Source organism: Homo sapiens, chromosome 19 (assembly GCF_000001405.40).
Source record: "Homo sapiens chromosome 19, GRCh38.p14 Primary Assembly".
Taxonomy (NCBI): domain Eukaryota; kingdom Metazoa; phylum Chordata; class Mammalia; order Primates; family Hominidae; genus Homo; species Homo sapiens.
This window is the reverse complement of record NC_000019.10, coordinates 30,507,688-30,525,886: the sequence shown is the minus strand read 5'-3', so window position 1 is coordinate 30,525,886 and position 18,199 is coordinate 30,507,688. Positions and strand designations below refer to the sequence as shown.

Genomic DNA, 18,199 nt, shown 5'->3' with positions numbered 1-18,199 from the left:
CCTACTGCTCTGACTTCATCCCAACTCCCCACCTGCACTCCAACCCTCACCTTTCTGTTCTCCTCTGAGGCTGGTTCCCAACTTTCTGTTCTCCTCTGAGGCTACGTCCCTTCTCCAGTAAGGCTTTGGTCCTGCTTCCCCTCCTCCTGGAATTCTCTTTCCCCTAGAATGCTCTTCTAACTTTCGTGTAAAAGTCACCTCTCTGAGAGAGATTGTCTCTGATCGCACTGTTGGAAGGAAATCTCCCAACCCCCAGCTCTCAGCCCATGTCACCTTCCACATCGCCCTTCACAGATGGTCAGCTGATCTGTGTATTAAACTGCTCACTGCCTGTCCCCTTCCTAGAATGTCAGCTCCAGGAGAACAGGGGCCAGGCACTATGGCCTGCCGTGACATTTCTAGCATGCGAGACGTCCTCAGCTCATAGCAGGTGCTTTATAAATACTTTTTCAACAAATAAAAGCATCAGGGAAGGCAAGCAAGTTGGAATTCAGATATTAAGACCAGTTCCTGACTATGAGAGGGAAGCTACTTTGAGCAGCTGGTGGGGAGAAATAGTCCAGGGCACCGTCAAAACATCGGAAGTGCTCCAGAGTGTTCAGCGCATGCAGGTGCTGGAGTTGGATGATTGCAGGGTGAGGAGGCCTGGGGATGTCCAGGGAGGCTTCCTGGAGGAAGGGGCCTCAGGGTGTCACCCAGTTCTCCCTCCATCCAGGTGGAAGGAACCACAAACACACAATTATAATCAGCAAGGCCACAAGAGAGCTCCTTAGAAGACTAAAGTGTGAGGCCCCTTTCCCCATTTCATTTACTCAATTCCTTCCTGGTTAAAAACGAAGATCTGACTATCATAAGGAGAAACGACTTCACATAAGCATAAAGAGATACTCACCCATAGAAGAGCATAGTGAAACAGATATTTTTAATGTAATCTATGATCCAATTACTATAATAATTATAATAAAATATTTGTTATGCCTTTGCTTCTTCATAATTTAAATTAAGTACTCCTTTCTTTAAACAAAAAATGAAAATTATAGTATAAGCCTCTACTTTCACTAAAGCATAAATTCCCAAAAGATGTCTACGTAATTTATTTTACTAAGAAAGAAAAAAAGAACACTATAGCTTTTAAGATCCTCTTAAGATAATTTACAGCCCCTCCTGTTTGGGTGGGGGTGGAGGAGGGGAGAAGATGGAAGATCTGACTCCAGGAATTCTTACCTAAATGACACCAGGAACAAACTGGACCAATCTTTTTTAAAATGTATTTGGTCAGTCACTATAACTTGCGGAGTTGAGTTTTCTCCTGGGAATTGAGCACACTGAAAGGAGAAGGGATGATTTGGAGATAACGCCTCCCCTAGAGATGTGTCTTGCCATATTCTTTTTTAAACAAAGAAGACATCTTGAGCACCTTGCACTATCTTTCATTTAATAGTTGGCAGAAGGCAAGTCCCTGATGAACGCTGGCCTGTGTCTTTCTCTTTAACCAGCCGAGTGATCCCAGCTTTTAATATAGCCGTTCCAATTATTGTAAAAGTCATCTAGTACCTTATAACCACAAATATTGACAGTTTATTGCAAAACACATTCCTGACATTTGAAGGTCACACCATACATAATACATACTCTTTTATAAAAGTGTCTGCAACAAAGAGATACATGATAAACAATTACCTCTCCCAGGCTGTACGCATGTACAGTTTGGGGCTGACTTGAGGTTGCATGAGAGACACACACACCATTTTAAATAATCTATTAGGGCGGCATGGAGGCATTCGTGATGGATAATTATGAAATGGCTTGTGAGCCTGCCGCCGTCGGATTGGCTGGCCTGGGCACGGGGTGGGGGCAATGCCCCTCCGTGGAGTGCAGGTCACAATGCCTCTGTGCCATGGAGAACCCAGCTTCACTTCACAATCGGATTTTGCCCCAAAGCCACTAAGCATAACAGACTCACAAATACGTTCTTGTTTCTCACATTGAAAGAAACTAAAAATCCACCAGGCCCGGCTGGGATGCCTCCTTAGCCTACAGTGGTGCCTCAGAGAGGCATTGACCACACTTGTGGTCACACAGCCATACCACCTCTCCCTGGGGCTGTGGCATCCAGAGACCCTTGGCACTCCAGCCCTGACTTCAGCCCAGCACAGGGGAAGGGTGCCTGACTGCCAGGTGCAGGCATTAAAAAAAAAAATCAGAGTATGAAAAGAGTTCCACAAATCTCTGCTGAAACTGAGAGTACCCAGGAATCTCTGGAGGAAGCATTCTGAGAGGGAAGCCACTGTCACTGTCCCTATCTCCAAAGGCTTCTCCATCTTGTCGCCACTTGTCCTTCCAGAGCTAAATCTGACAGACAGGTTCAGAAGACAGAATAAGCGGAGAGGTTTGCAGTCCAAAAGCCCCAGGTCAAAACCAAGTTCCCCAGGTCTTAGGCGTGTAATCCTGGGCAAATTACATAACCTCTCTGAGGCTTGGTTTCCTTATCTGCAAAACGGGAATAGTCACAAGAATTCATGTCTCAAAGGATTGTAGAGTCTAAGGTATATAAATCACTTAGCATGGTGCCTGATGGAGGTTATGCTCCAATTAATAGTGGCTTTCAACATGAATATTGCCAAAGCAACGCGTCATATGTAAAGATGGCATGGGGAGGGGGCAGATCTGTGGTTTTAGCTCCAGGACTAGCCTCCTGAGTAGCAGCTTTCAGTGTTCGTGTCCCTGGCAGTGCCCCCGCGCCAACCCCAAGCCAGCTCCAAGCTATGGAATCAGACACATACAAAGTGCCAGCATGAGGGGACATGATCCTTCCCTGAAAAGTCCAGTTGGGGCAGCTCCTCCAAAGCTCTAAAACCCCAGGCAATCCTCCCAAGTTAACAGTAAAAAACAATTCAGGCTGCCACTGAGCTTCGCATAGATGACAATCTTTAATCACAGATGAAGCGGCAGGTCGTTAGAATCTGCACCAAACTCCCTTCCAGATGATACTAACGGTTGCTGTTTAAAATATATATACCTATGTGCATGTATAAACACAAATATATATATTTAGAACCATATTAAAATAAATAATCAACAAATCCTTAAGATAATTGAAAGCCCCTCCAAGAGTAATTTTATTTGGATTTCCAGAATGAACATCTTAAAATTTAAGACAGGGGACCAAAATGATTTCTACAAGGATGACATGTTTATTAGCACTAAATCCCAGGAAAGAGGGCTTCCTTATAAAGAACACGTTTTTGCATCTGAAAAGCATGCCTATTAGGATGTGTGTGTTCCTTTAAGAAGCTATTCTGTTTTAGAGGGTCGCATGTAGGATAGGGCTCCACGTGATCAGGAGGTTGCTATGGTAAATATGCATTTTTTATTGAAGAGTAAACAGTGGCAGAAAACAAGTGTCAATTGCCAGCTCTGAAGTTACTGCCATTTTTGAGCTGCACTGACTTATCTAGCCCTTTTCATTTGAGAACATATCAGATGAACGCAATCCTTGGATCAGCTTAAAAAATTTTTTTGAATAAATGCTGAACCCTTCAATATCTTGTAGTAATAAATACTTCAGTTGACATTAAAATTAGCAAAAAATTATATATATATTATATATATGTATATATATATGTATATATATCCAGCTCTGCCAATCAGGCACAGGCACATGGATCTTTCTGGAGACCTGTTCCCAGCTGGTGGACTTCCAAAGGACAAAACCTTCAGGTCTGGCTCAGGCCACAGAGCAGAGGAGCCAAGGAGACAGCTGAGGCCACTCCACTGTCCATTGTCTTGGTACCTGCAGACCAACAGAAGCCCTGGGTGGTGCCCTGCGAATGGCCCTCCCGGTCCAGTGTTCGTGTCCCTGGCAGTGTGATGTCCCATGCTGCTTGAAGGGCAGTGTAGTTTACACAATACAACTGTGACACTTTTAGCTAAGTTTTCACTGTGTTTCCCCTTGTAGAGACTGAGAGGAGTGTAAATTTATTCCTGGTAGTTCCTGAGAGGCAACTTTGTTTTCTTCTGATATATCCACATGGGTGACCTTTCTTGATTATAAGTCAGGCCACGTCACTCCCAGTTATCACCGCGGTTAGCACCTGGTCCCATCCCAAGTGGCCCCCAGCTGGCTTCTCTGGCTAGATACAGGGCTTGAATTTTGTTCTTCTTTGACACCAGCTTTCCTTCTAGCCTGTAAAGTGCAAAGGACAAGGGCTGAGGTTCCTCCTCCTCCATACTTTGCACGTGGCCGGTGTCCAGCCAATATTCACCCCAAATGGGGTGAATAAATGAATGCTTTAATAAATGAACTGACCTAGCTCCAGGACTAGCCTCCTGGGTAGCAGCTTCCAGGAGGAAGGTCAAGTTTGCTTGTTTTTCTTGTGATCACAGATGAAAATAACAAGTCTGGCAAATTCTCAATGGGAACTTCCCAAAGTCTGGGAATCCCATAGACTGGTCCAAAGAAATTCAGACCAGAGACAAGGATCCCAAGATGAGTGTGTCCTCCAACAAGCCCCCCAGAAGAAGCAGGCAAGAATAGCAGCCCTTGCTTTTCAGGGAAGGGGAGCAGCAGGTAGCTGAGCAAAGTGTCCCCACAGCCCCCAGACATGCACAGAGATGGCCCAATCCTCCTCAACACAGGGAGACACACGGGCCACTTTTAATGCTGCCTGAACAGGCTTGCCTGGGCATTCGAGCACCTCAAAACACCAAGGGACTCCGGGAGCCAAGTCTGAATCTAAACTCTGCTAGCACTGGCTCTGTGGTCCTGAGCAAAGCGCCAAAGCTTCATGAGCCTTCATTTCCTTGTTGGTAAAGTTGGATCACTGGAGAATGGTGCCAGTCACAGAGGGTCTGAGTGCTTCATGAGGCAATGGGCTTGCAAAGCTGCATGCACTTTAAACCCTGCGTGGCAGAGTGGGGAAGCCACTGACCAGGCAATGGCCGGCTCTGGGCTCCGTCTGGTGAGGCCACTTCCGAGCTGTGTGTTTGTAAATGCCTCCTACCTTCGCCCAGCCTCCAAACACTGCCTATGACATGGGAATAAGGCCTCCTACTGTGGACAAAAGGTCATCCAGCAGAGTCCCAATTGGTAGCCTCCCAACCCCACCATCTACAAGGTCTAAAGTATGAAAAAGGTAAACCAGCATAAAACAGCAAACCAGCAGGTGGTGATCCATGTCATGGAGTCACCATAGGATCCTCCAAAATGGTCAGCCCCTCCCCCTGCATGATCAACAAGGTTTCCTAATGCCAAGCACCACCGAGCCCTGAGTAGGAACTCCATGTAGACATAACACATCTTCACTCTCTCCCACATTGTCTAACCCAGAAATTAGAGCTTACTTGGTATTATCCTCCAAACACCCCTTTGAGGGGAGTAGGTGAAGGAGTTGGGGGTATGAGGACCTGGGGGGATGTGGGCACTGGGATGACAGGGAGAAAGAAGCAGACAGCAGGTAGAAGCTCAGGCCTCAGCATCCCATTGGTCTCTCAACATCTCCAAAGAGCTCCCCATTCATCCACAACTACACAGGTCCCAGGGCCCTTCAGTCCTACACGCTGGGGGCTTGCACCCGGGAAGCCCCCTGGCTGGCTCATCCCCTACCCCGAGAACACATGCCCTGATATTGAAAAAGAATTTAAGAGCTTCAGGAACTTGGGACTGCAATGAGATCTAAGAAATGTTTCCTCTCATCCTGAAATGCCTTAAAAATCCCAGAGCTGGCCCTACTGGCCCACCGGGCCAGAAATTTCTCTCTCTGTTGGACCTCAGAATCTCAACACATACTGTTCCCTCTTCCTGAAATGCAAACCCCAAACACCAGCCCCAGGCCCACCACCTGCATCTTGCCTGGTTAATCCCACTCATGTTTGAGGGTTCAGCTCCAATGTCATTTGCTCTCATCTTCCAGACTAAGTCAGGTCTGCCCAATCATCCCAGAATTTAACCTTCAGGACATTTCTCAGAGTTTGCACTGAGCGTATATGTGTGATTAATATCTGTCTCTGCCACCAAACTGCCACCTCTTTGAAGGCTGGGATGGGGTCTGTTTTTCTCACTCTTGTGTCCCTTAGAGCCTCCTGGCACAGTGTGTTCAATAAATACTGGTGACCAGCCGAATGAATGAATGAATGAATGAATGGTGTTGGGGAGGGCTGGCCACCCTTCCATGATCATGCAATCTAAGAAGTCTGCCTTTTCCTTTTAAGTACATAACTAGCCACCTCTGACCTGCCCTTCCAGGGTGTGGGGCCTGGCAGTGGGTCCAGGTGGCCTGTGTCTGTGAGTGGACAGGCTGCCACAGGCTCTCTCCAGGAAGGAAAGCTGGACGTGGGGAATCTGGTGTCTGGTATCCCAGGGCTCCATTCCCTTGTGGTCCATCAGTCCAGCCCCCTCCTCTTGCAGCTGCAGACTGCAGCTCCTCCAGGCTCTCCTTGAGAGAGTGCAGGGCTCCCACTGCCAGAGCACAACCCCGTGGAGGGCAAGGAGAAGTCAGCTTGGTCTTCCCAGCCTCACCTGCCCCAAGGTGCTGTGCAAAGCTTCCAGTCCCTCCTGCCACAGGGCCCTTCCCTGTCCACACCTGCCCCAGCCAGGGCTCGACATCCACACAGAAATTCAATCCTATTTTGCAGCAAGGCTGGTGGCTCTTGGGAGCCCCACCCCAGAGCTGGGCTGGGGGAGGCAGGTGGCTTGATTTGGGCCAACAGAACCTTGGGACGCGATAGGCTGCGCAGGTGTTGGCCTTGAACCGTTGCTGGTGGAGACTGCAGAGTCCAGGCCCTGGGGCAGCACCTCAGGCCGTTCGTTCTGCCTGGGTACTTCTGCTGAGTCTCTGGGCCTGAGGAGAAAGTCCGCCCAGATGTATGTTCTTGGGGGCATCCCGCCACACGGATGCTCTGCACGCACCACCAGAACAAGGAAGCAAACTTGGCTTTCCCATCTGCGTGCTGCTCCCGGGATGTTTCTTTCCCTCAGCCTGCAATCCAGGCTCTCCCATAGCTCCCCCATCCCTGCACCCCCATCCCTCTGCCCTGGTTCACTCCTTTTTGGGCATCACCCAACACTGACTGCTAAGGCTCACTTCCATGGCAAACCTGTGGTCTGTCTGGTTTACGGTGGCACCCCCAACCTTTAGCTAGGTGCCCAGCACATAGTAGGCACTTACTGAATAAAAGGCAACATCACATTGCTCGATTCGATACCAGTGACTTTTTCTTTCATATGGAAAATCATTTTCTCCATTCCCTCAGATGTCCTTCTGCACTAATATTCAAAGCGGTGCTGCGTACACACGCACATCATCCTGGGATGCTAATTTCTATCCTATAATTGAGAGAGACAACTAAATGTTGCAAGGTTATTCAAAACTCCTGCCCCTTATCCTCTGACTTCTCCTTCGGGGAAAATTGCACAGGAATACATTTCCTCATCTATGTGTTAGAGCACGGTTATAATCCACTATCATGATTGCAATTTTGGGAATCAAAACGGAGATCCAACACAGCAGTGTGATCTACATTTTAGCCACATATATTATAATAAATTAAGTCAAAGAAGGAGTTTTGCATTAACTCTCGCTGTATTCCTTTAATACCCTGTAAGAACACTGAAGCTACCCTTCGTAAGTGCTTGGCCCTTCCTGCCAGCTGCCCAGGGCTGCCAGGTTGCTGCTGCCCCTTCGCCTGCAACAGGAGGTGACAGGGCCAGCTGCGAGGTGATGGCTGGACCGTGCTTGGAGCATTGACTGGATCAGGCTTCTGCACCCTGGGTTCAAAGCCACAGAGAGGCTGATCTGGTCACTGGCATGCAGAAGTTTCTGGAAAGAAGGAGACAGTTCAAGCAGCAGGCTAATGGGAGGGTGCTAGACTGACCTCTGTAGATAACTCTGCGGACCTGGCAAAGGAGGGGGTAGGTACACGCTGTGCCCACCACGTTAATGACCTCGCCCAAGTCCTTTCCTATTTCGGGGCTTCTGTTTGCACCCCCAAATCATGGAATGGGGGCAGAGGACTCTAATTGAGATGCAAAGGTTTAATCACACAGGGTTTTCATGTGTTAAATTTGTTTTTTTGTTTGTATGTATGTATGTATTTATTATTTTTTTGAGACAGGATCTTGCTCTGTTGCCCAGGCTGGAATGCAGTGGTGTGATCATGGCTCACTGCAGCCTCGACCTCCTGGGCTCCAACAATCCTCCCGTGTCAGCCTCCCAAGTAGCTGGGGCGTATGCACCGCCACACCCAGCTAATTTTGTAAATTTTTTGTAGAGACAGGATTTCACTATGTCACGCAGGCTATAAGTTTGTTTTTAACATATACAAATTTGGGACATTTCACTCACACATGGTCAGCATTTCCAGCTTCTCCTGAGAAACTGTGTTATCTCCCAATGCTGAGCCCATGGGCCCAAAGAGCAAGGGTTGATGGGCTGGGCAGTGGATGCGTCCTCCCCACCGGGCCCCTTCCCCACCCTCACTACCTGGCTGGCCCCCACCCTGCAGGCATCTCTCTGAATTTGCCATCTCAGCCGAGATGATCCTGGGAGCCCTTTCCACCTCTAAAAACGGCCTTAATAATCTCAGTTAGGCAAATAAGGCAGAAGCCTCCAGACTAATTCTCGTAATTATGATGGGTCTGTTATTTCAAAGCCAGTGATGATTGTGGGGTCAGGTACTCAGAGGAAGAGGGAGAGAAACAGACTTTCAAGTGATAGCAAATACCCTTTGATTCTTCGCTATGATACCAAATTGCATCCAGAAATGCTGAAACGTGTGCTCAGAACCTGAGTCAGATTTCAAAAAGGCCCCAGGAGGAAGGGCAGTGATCAGAGGGAAAGATGGATCAACCAGAGAACCAGGCGATGTAAAGATCACGTCCCAGGACTCGGTGGCTGGGCCTGAGCCAAGGGGACAGTGACACATTTCTTCACTGCTGCACTGGCCTTGGGATCTGTCACCACACCTGGCCTTCCCCTATCTTCTCCAAGTTTAGAAGGCCCGACCTTCTCCTCCCTGCCTTTCAAGCGTTTCTCATCACCACTTCACGAAGCCTCGCCACGAAGCCTCGCACTTCCACTGCCGCCACGAAGCCTCGCCTGGCCTCCCGGCACACTCCGTCTCTAAACCTTTTCTGAACATTTCTATACAATGACATGCTGCTTTGGAATGCTCACTAATTTTTCTCATGTGTTTTGATTCCAGCCTACTTACCAAGAGTACCCCGTGGGTTTGCCTGTCTCGTAATCATCAACAGAGCCGAGCGAAGGGCTGGCCCACAGAGTCACTCAATGAACACATGTGGGTTGACCTTTCCGTGGTGAAAGGCGCCATTATCATCTCCTCCAGGGCTTTCTTCATAGGGCTTCTTCAAGGAGAAAGAAAGATCTGACCAAGTGACAGAAAACACTTTAGACTTTCTGGCCTCATTGTCTCACTTAAGTTTATGTCCCTAGTGTTGGCTTGAACGTTGTCCTTTTCCTGTTGCCCCTGAGTTCATTCATTCAGCCAGCAAATATTCATGGAGAGCCTGCCCTGCACAGGTTCAGTGCCGTGGAGACACACACCAGGCCGGCTGGTCCGTGCAGGGAGAAGCTGCCCAGGAGGACGGAGGACGGCAAAGGAGGCACCTGGGTCCTTCCTGGCTGATGTTTGCATCTTGTGGTGAGGTACCTAGTTCTCTCTATGGTCCTCATTCATCTTAGAGCAATTAGACCACAGCAAACATGTCCACCCAATTTTCCCTTCTGCCCTTGTCTCTCTGTGGATAAATCTCTGGGCCTATGTAGGATTCTCAACTGAGCACTGGGCATTCTTTTTTCTTTTCTTTCTTTATTGCTTTTTTTTCTTTTTTTTTTTTTTTTGAGATGGAGTCTCACTCTGTCACCCAGGCTGGAGTGCAGTGGCATGAACTCGGCTCACTACAACCTCCGCCTCCTGGGTTCAAACGATTCTCCTGCCTCAGCCCCACGAGTAGCTGGGAATACAGGCACCTCCCACCACGCCCTGCTAATTTTTGCATTTTTTAGTAGAGATAGGGTTTCACCATGTTGGCCAGGCTGGTCTCGAACTCCTGACCTCGGGTGATCTGTGCACCTTGGCCTCCCAAAGTTCTGGGATTATAGATTATAGGGGTGAGCCACCACGCCTGGCCTAGAGCAATGGGCATTCTTATTTTACTTCTGGGAGATTCCATTAAGAAGAGGAAGGCCAGGAACAATTTTGTATCTGCTTCTATATTGTCCACTGTGGATTTCTGGCTAAGGTATAAGACCGAGAAAGCCCCTGTGTTTTACCAATGGCTTCCTGAGGTGCCTTCCTGCTGCTGTGATCATAGAGCGCTGTCTGAGATCCTACTCTGTCCTAACAGCACGGGACACTTCCCATGAGGATGATTCAGGTTTTTATCCTGAAGGCGCTTCACATGCACCAGGGAGAGCAAAATAAATATACTAAAAGTAATGGTGATAATAATAATAAAATCTGAACTCTTATCATAAACGATAACTACTTCAATAGCAGTTAACATTAATCGAGCACATTCTATGTGCTTTCAAAGCATTGTCTAAATCCATCCTCACAACAGCCCTTTGGGGCAGAAGTTGTTGTTATATTTTGGGTTATTTTTTGAGACAGGGTCTCACTCTGGTGCCCAGGCTGGAGTGCAGTGGTACGATCATAACTCACTCTAACCTTGAACTCCTGGGCTCAAGTGATCCTCCCATCTCAGGCTCCCAAGTAGCAGGGACTACAGGTGTGAGTCACCACACCCAACTAATTTTTAGTTTTTTCTGGTGTTTTTTGTAGAGATGGGGTCTTGCCATGTTGCCCGTGCTGGTCTCAAACGCCTGGGCTCATCAAATGATCCTCCCATCTCGGCCTCCCAAAGTGCTGGGATTACAGGTGTGAGCCACCACGCTGGGCCACAGAGTTTTATTATCTCCAATGTACAGATGAGAAAACTGAGGCTTACAGAGGTTGAATTACAAATCCAGGCTCACACAGCTAGTAAGGACAGAGCAGACTGGAGTCAAGGTCACTGGATTCCTGATACTGAGCTCTGCAAGCTACCCAGAGCCGGAGTCAACAATGAGGGGTCCTCACGTTGCAAGTACAATATGGAGATGAAGGGATGAGAAGAGTTTCTGGATGTGGAGGCCAAGACAGGTGCTTTGTGCATGCAGCATGGAAGCACAGCCTGGAGGGGCAGGTATGGTGGGGTAGGGGTGGTGCCCTCTGGAATCAAGCAGAAGAAGCTGGTCTTGATGCCCCAAGAAAAGCCACCAGAAGAGCTGCATAAAGTCCTGGAAAAGAGAGGTAAGGTCCTCCTGCAGGTTGGGACACTGGGTCTTCCCGTCTACTGGTCACTCTTCTACTTGGTCATCTTTCTTTGCTCCAACACAGTCACACCATTTCTCATCTCCCTGTGAGTCTCTTTGACCCCCCTGCAGGACCCAGGGGTTCTGGCTTCCAGACACCACCATTGTAAAATAATTACCAGAAAACCAATCAGAAAGAGAGCATGCGAAACCCAGCATGCCACCCCTGCCACATCAACGAGATTAAGGGGAGGCTCAGGGTGAAAACAGACTTTTTGATTTTTTTGAGGGTGGGAGTAAATTGAATAACCTCTCCCTAACCACCCAGTTGGATGTGGACAAACTGCTTCAATTGAATAATCTATGGAGGCTAGTAGAAGGGGTGTGTCTGAGGTCTGTGCTCCTCTCCTTAGGGGAATCACTTTGAAAACATACGCCATTTGGCACAATCTGCTCAGCTTCAAAAGCAAAGCAAAGCCTGCCACGGGTCAAGGACCACTCTGAGGCAGGTAGAAACAGGACCTGGCTCGCCAGGTCTCACTGAGCTGGTGCATTGCTCCCCCACACAGAAAGCCAATGGGCTCTCGTGTGTCCCACACAGCACCCAACGTGCCCCTCACCAGTCAGTGCACACAGATGCTGATAAACTGCTCAGCCCTGAGTTTGAGGGTCTCAGAATCCTTCAAAATCCCCCCATCTGCAGGGGAGAAAGAAACAGCTTGGTGGAGAATGTTCTAGCATTCACACATCCCAAGCACCTGGTCTTCCACCAATCTTCCCACCAGGACCTTGCTCCACCTCCAAAACAAGTTGGTTGTGACCACCGGGAGCTGTGTTTCTGGAGTCCCACATTTGGGGTAAATCCTCCATCCACCCTTCAACTCTAGTCTAGAGTGGAGGACCTGGTAGACACACCTCCCTGTCTGTCCCTGTTGTAGCCTGGTTCATTTCTTCTGATATTAGATGCCTTGTTTTCCTCTCTTCATCATAGACCAGATTCTTGTGTTACAAGACATTTAATAAATGTTATTTTTAACTTGGAACTATTACAGACTGCTGATTGAATGACACCAATGTCACAGGAGTCACCGGGGTTGGGGGCACAGAGAAGATCAACATAATTCATGCACTTAATCCAATATGTCCATCCCAAATACAAATCCCACCAGAAAAAGGTGCCTGCTGTCCTGCAGGGTCGTTGCACCTGGGATGTAGGACTCCTAAGCGCAACTCCAAGAACCTAGGCGCTGATTTCACTTGCAAATGGCTCTTATATTTTATTTTCTTGCGCACACAAGATGTAGGAAGGAAACAGCAAACCCTCATCTAGCCACACCCTGCTTCCATTAATTGCTAGAGAGCAGCAGCTTGCTGGTAATGGCGCCCTTTCAATAATACTTTCCAGCTAAATTGTTTTGTGGTTTTGATTCTATGATATAAAAAAAATGCTTTCCATTATTCTAATGTGTCACGTGTCTTGTGAACTGGTGACCTAAGTGTGTGTACATATAAAGAAAATATGAAAGAAAAGAAAAAAAAATAAAATATGATGACATCATTTCAAAGGCATAAGCTTTTAAAAATGCACCCAGAGGGGATTTATTTCCTTACTCCAGAGCAACATAACACCATCCGGCTGATGCGCTGTTCTCTTTTTTATTTGGAATAGTGCCATCTTTGTGAACGCCTGGTTCATGCAAGTTAATCAATTTGAGGTTTAGTTACACTGCTGAGGCTTGCATTCTATAGATTGCTAGAAAGTAATTCGAACTTGCAGAATTTATTAACCAAACACCAATTATCATTAAACAGCACTGCATTATCCAGCTTTACTACCTGACAAGAACTACTTAATGAAATTTTAGATTAAAGTTATTCAGTGGTTGATTTATTGTACAAAACTCTAATGTAGCCAATGTACAGATGCTGGGAGCAGCACTTTTTTTTTTTTTCAAAATGGTTTACTCAAGGGACCTCTAACCCACACTCGTATCACAGCAACGAATGTGACCCAAAGAAAATATTTGATTTTTTTTAAATATAATGCATTATGCTTGGACAGGGGTCTGTTTTGACCTGCATGGCAAAAACTGTTTACTGCACAATGTTTGCAAGATGAAACAGCCACAAAATGTGTTACATATAAGGCTTCAGAGTAAACAGGAGCACCAGATGTTCTTTGATGTTAATAATGGCATTTATTATTAATATTAATTAGACTGCATTCAGCAATACATTTGGGCCATTTCCAAGTCAATTAAGGAAAACGACATTCGGGAGATGTTCTGAACGACATTTTAAGGCAGGTGTTCCGCAGTCCCCTAATAAAACAATTTTGCAGGCATTGGAAAAACAACCATTTTAAATTCTGTGTTTTGCAGTATATTTTATGGTTCTAATTCTCTGAATTTTAAAAATGTGATCAACAATTTCTCCAGTCACCAGTAAGAGGATCCTGAAGCTCAGAAACTTTTCATCATTTTAAGTTTAAAATAAAAGTCTGTATATCCATAAAAGCTTTGCCATATGCTTTGCAGACAAAAGTTTGCACGTAGATGATACATCGAATTATACTTAATGTAAATGTATGGATTATCCTCCAAGGACCCTTTATGGACTCTGCCTCATTTCTAATTTCCTTTATAAATCTATGTTATGAAAATTAGGGAGGGGAAGGATAAATAGCACCAGAAACCCTCTAAAAGCTTTGTTTAATTCTTCGTGATTGTCTCAACTAGACACAAGTTAACTTGTCATTAACGTGCATACGGTCTCCTTGCATTTTACCCCACCCATGTAAGCTCTGAGCCACCCCAAGCATCCGACTTAAATAATAATGTGACAACTGCAAGGTCCTATCTGCTAAATTAATTATATTTAAAATTTTACATGTGTATGTTAATTTGTAACACTTTAATGTCTGCTGTGGGGGTGAGTTACGTGTCTGTTTACCACCAAGCAGTACAACAAATTTCAGCTCATACCCGAAAATGCTTTCAAACCCTGCCATGGCCGCAGACACAATGAAGGCTGAGACAACTGCTTGAATTCGTTCCATTCCTTCCCCTCTTTTACTAGCACCCCAGACAGACCCACAAACTAGATATTCTTAGTGGAAAACATAAACTGTAAACATATCAAAATATACTGTTAGTCTCTGCCTCATCAGGAATTCATGAACCTGAAGGCTTTTTTATGGTTTGTGTATAAATTAAAATTTCACGTCATAGCTGCATTAGCTTTTAATGTAAACAAAATATATTGGGGGTCTGTGACATTCTATCAGACAAGGGAAGGAGTCAGGAGCCCCAAGCTGCGAGAGATGAACCAGAGAAAAGAGTTCTTGAGCAGGAGCTGAGAGCTGGGCAAGGTGTCTGGTGGGGGAAGGAAGGAAAAAGCCTCGCCAAGCCACATCACCTTCCGGATGCTCTGCCAGGAGCAGCCCATCTTACCCACGGCTCCCCTCCATTCAGGCTCTGAAAACTGAAGATGCTTGAAACGATCTCAAGTGGTGATGGTCATCCTTGTACTCCACCCACACTTCAGAGTGTTATTTCCTTTGTTCTCCAGCCAGGGCTCAGCCTCTGAGGAGGCCAAATGGGAGATATGATATCCATCCCCACTCTACGCCTGACCCGGGCAACAGACTCATGGCAGCAGACACAGGTCCTGCCAAGGATGCAAAGCTACAATGCTGATCAGCATCTCAGGTCGGGGACAAGAAGATGTCACTCTTCTGATGTGACGGCATTCAAAGAGGGAAGGCAGGACATGTCTCCCAGTCCAAGGCGATGAGGATAACTACAGTGGGAACATATCCTTCTCCTTGGAGAGAGGTGAGGATGCATCTGGGCTGAGAGCCACCTACTTCTAGCTTTCCAGGAAGCTCTGATGTCTGCTTCCTTGCAACCATAGAGGAGAGGTCAATGGCCAACACTCTACATCGAGGAGCACTGACCCATCATGAAGGAGGGAAGCAGCGATCCCCGCGTCTCTGTAGAATGCCTCTGCGGGCAACTCATTGCCACCTGCCTTCCTCCCTAAAGCTATCACTGCCCAATCTGCCACAATAAAGAGAAAACAGGGCAAGTTGAAGCCTCCCAAAGAGGGGCTGTGCAAACTCCTCCCAAAGACAGGAGCACAGACTGTCAGAGGCTGGCTAGGTGGTTGCTGGAACGCCAGGTCTGAAAGTGCCAGCCCCATCACCTGGGTACCTGTCTGCCTTGTGCTGGATGCCTAATACCCCTCTCTGGCACATTAACAATCTGCGTATTCATTTATCAGCAGTACATTTTGAATTGTATATTTATGGCACAGTGCACTTTTCATAGCTGAAAATTAATGAACATGCCTTTCTCATAACAAACAAGCACCTGGCTGCATAGTTAGTAATCGGAAACAGATTTATTTTTATTAGTGTATATGTGGGCAAAATTTCTATCTTTAAAAAAAAAGCTATGCTGAAGTTTCGGTGATATGAATGCAGGCTGCCCCCGGACACTTCCATTTTATAAACTTCCACTTCTAATTTCCCCCCACAATATTTTCATGTCAGATGCAGTGATAATGCCTTTCAACAGAATGAAATCATTTGTTTGTGAGGCCCACTCATCTTGATAAAACAAGATCTCGGCTCCTGCCATGCACTACCCACCACAGGAACATGGAATTTCACCAGCTATAAAACGAAGAAAGAAATTCACGATTCAACAGTTTCCACCAACTTCTGCTTCTTCCCCTGATGAAGTAGTTAATAGCCATTGTACTTCGGATCAGATATGTAGGGTGAACAAGTCTAGAAGTCAAATGTGCAACATGAGAACTGTAGGTAAGAAAAGTGTACTGATTGTGGGATTCATGCTAAATGAATTTTAGATTTTAGATTTTAGCTGCTCTTGCCACAAAAAAAGGATAACTATTTGAGATGATGGATATAATAATTTGCTTCACTACAGTAACCTTTTTACTATCTATATATGTCCCATAATGTCATGTTGTGTGCCTTAAATATACACAGTAAAATTATATATAAATATATGTTACTATATATAAATTATGCACAAATAATATATATTATATAGCTATATATTATACATAAATTATACAGATATTATATATAAATTATATACTATGCATACATTATATATTATAATATGTTATACATATAATTATGTATGTATAAGATATAATATATATCATATATGTATGTGTAATACATATGTAATTATAATCATATCTTATACATACGTAGTTATATATGTATGTATAATATATGTTACATATTGTATATTATACATAATATATACATTACATATTATATATATTATACATATTGTATACATTATATAACTCGATTTGCAAGTTTTGTCCCTCTGGCCTTCTTGGTTCAGTTACTTTTGGAAAAAATCTCAATCCCACCATTTAAAATCACAGTTGAGGCCAGGCATGGTGGCTCATGCCTGTAATCCCAGCATTTTGGGAAGTCAAGGCAGGATGATCACTCAAGCCCGGGAGCCCCAGACCAGCATGGGCAACACAATGAGACCCCATCTCAACAAGAAATTTTTTAAAAATTAGTCACCTGTGTTGCCTGGCACACAACTGTGCTCCCAGATACTTGGGAGGTTAAGGTGGGAGGATTGCTTGAGCCCAGGAGGTCAAGGCTGCAGTGAGCCATGATCATGCCACTGTACTCCAGCCTGGGTGACAGAGCAAGACCCTGACGCAAAAAAAAAAAAAAAAAAAAAAAAAGAAAGAAAGAAAGAAAAGAGAAAAGAACCACGGTGCCCACACCCACAAATGTAGTCACTAAGGAAGGGCACCATGGTTGTTTAATTTCCTGGTTGGTGTGGTGAGGTAGGGCAGATAGGACTTGAATTTTGAAGGTACCCTCACTGCTGTCAGTGAACGCATTTTCTAGGGCACCTAGGTGCTCTGTTGTAGGCCTCTTAGAAATTAAACCAGGGCTCCCTGCTCCACCTGGCCCCCCTCTGCTGCCTTCCAGCCTTCTCTGTGGGCCGCAAAGACTCACAGTCTCATGGCCCGGATCATTAAATCAAACCTGCCTCACATCTGTCATTCACCATGTGGCAGCTCAGTTTCCTTTTCAGCAGAATGGGGTCCTTTTCTGACCTGGTCCCAGTCATACCCCAGGCAGTGGGACTGAAGAATGAAGGAGAGTGACCAGAAGAAAGGTCCTCCCCATCCTCTACAGCCATAGCCCTTGTTTCCCTTCCAGAATGTCTTCCAAAGCCACTCAGGCAGGGGTCTGCAATGGCAGCCCAAGGGTGTCCCCATGCCTAGATGGTGGCTTTCTACCTCTCATAGCCCTTTTTCCCATAAGCCCCTGCAAGCCTGGGGTCATAATTCAGCTTCCATGGGCAATCGGTGAATGGTAAAAGGCTCTAGTGGTTGGTGAGGCAGGGGGAGCCGACAGCCCCATCCCCTTTGCTGAGCAATTCCCTTTCCAGACTGCTGGGGCACAGTGCCACAGGCCCTGTTCCATGGAAAACGAGTTCTGGGAGAGGCCTCACTCATTCTTCCATTTAATGAACATATATTTACCATTCATCACTCCTAAGTTAAACAGGCAAGGATCCTGCCCTCACAGATCTTGAAGTCTCGTGGGGAAGAAAGCCATTAATCAAATAATTACTCAGATAACTAAATGTGATAATACCTGAGAAAGAAAAAAGCATGGGCAATTCTGGGTTCATCACGTATGCGCATGAAACACTTGAACAACCTGCCTGATTGTCTCTTATTTGTGCCTACTGGGTTAAAATAGTCATAATATTTTGGCTTTAGATACTTATATTTGGTATAATTTTAGCTTCCTCCAACTTAAGGTGTCTTGATTGTTTCTCCTTTGACTTGCCTTATCT

The 18,199-nt window shown here is 46.0% G+C and overlaps 1 protein-coding gene across 47 annotated transcripts in view, besides 1 other annotated feature; it reads right to left on the bottom strand.

Moving 5' to 3' along the window:
* The window catches only part of ZNF536 (zinc finger protein 536), a 487,995-nt gene that overhangs the window by 187,700 nt on the left and 282,096 nt on the right, over nt 1-18,199 (bottom strand). Inside the window, exon 1 of one of the 47 annotated variants that reach the window (XM_017027543.3) lies at nt 9,211-15,455. The exons of the other annotated variants lie outside the window; for them this stretch is intronic. Coding sequence (XP_016883032.1) covers nt 9,211-9,247 — 37 coding nt within the window. The 5' untranslated portion in view covers nt 9,248-15,455. Of the gene's footprint in view, nt 1-9,210; nt 15,456-18,199 lie in introns of those variants that run through there. 47 annotated transcript variants of the gene reach the window in all.
* Nucleotides 12,532-13,853: an enhancer, noted in NCBI's record as "VISTA enhancer hs384". NCBI's record gives its function as "enhancer in: trigeminal V (ganglion, cranial)[3/5]" and the evidence as "EXISTENCE:transgenic organism evidence [ECO:0001131][PMID:17130149]".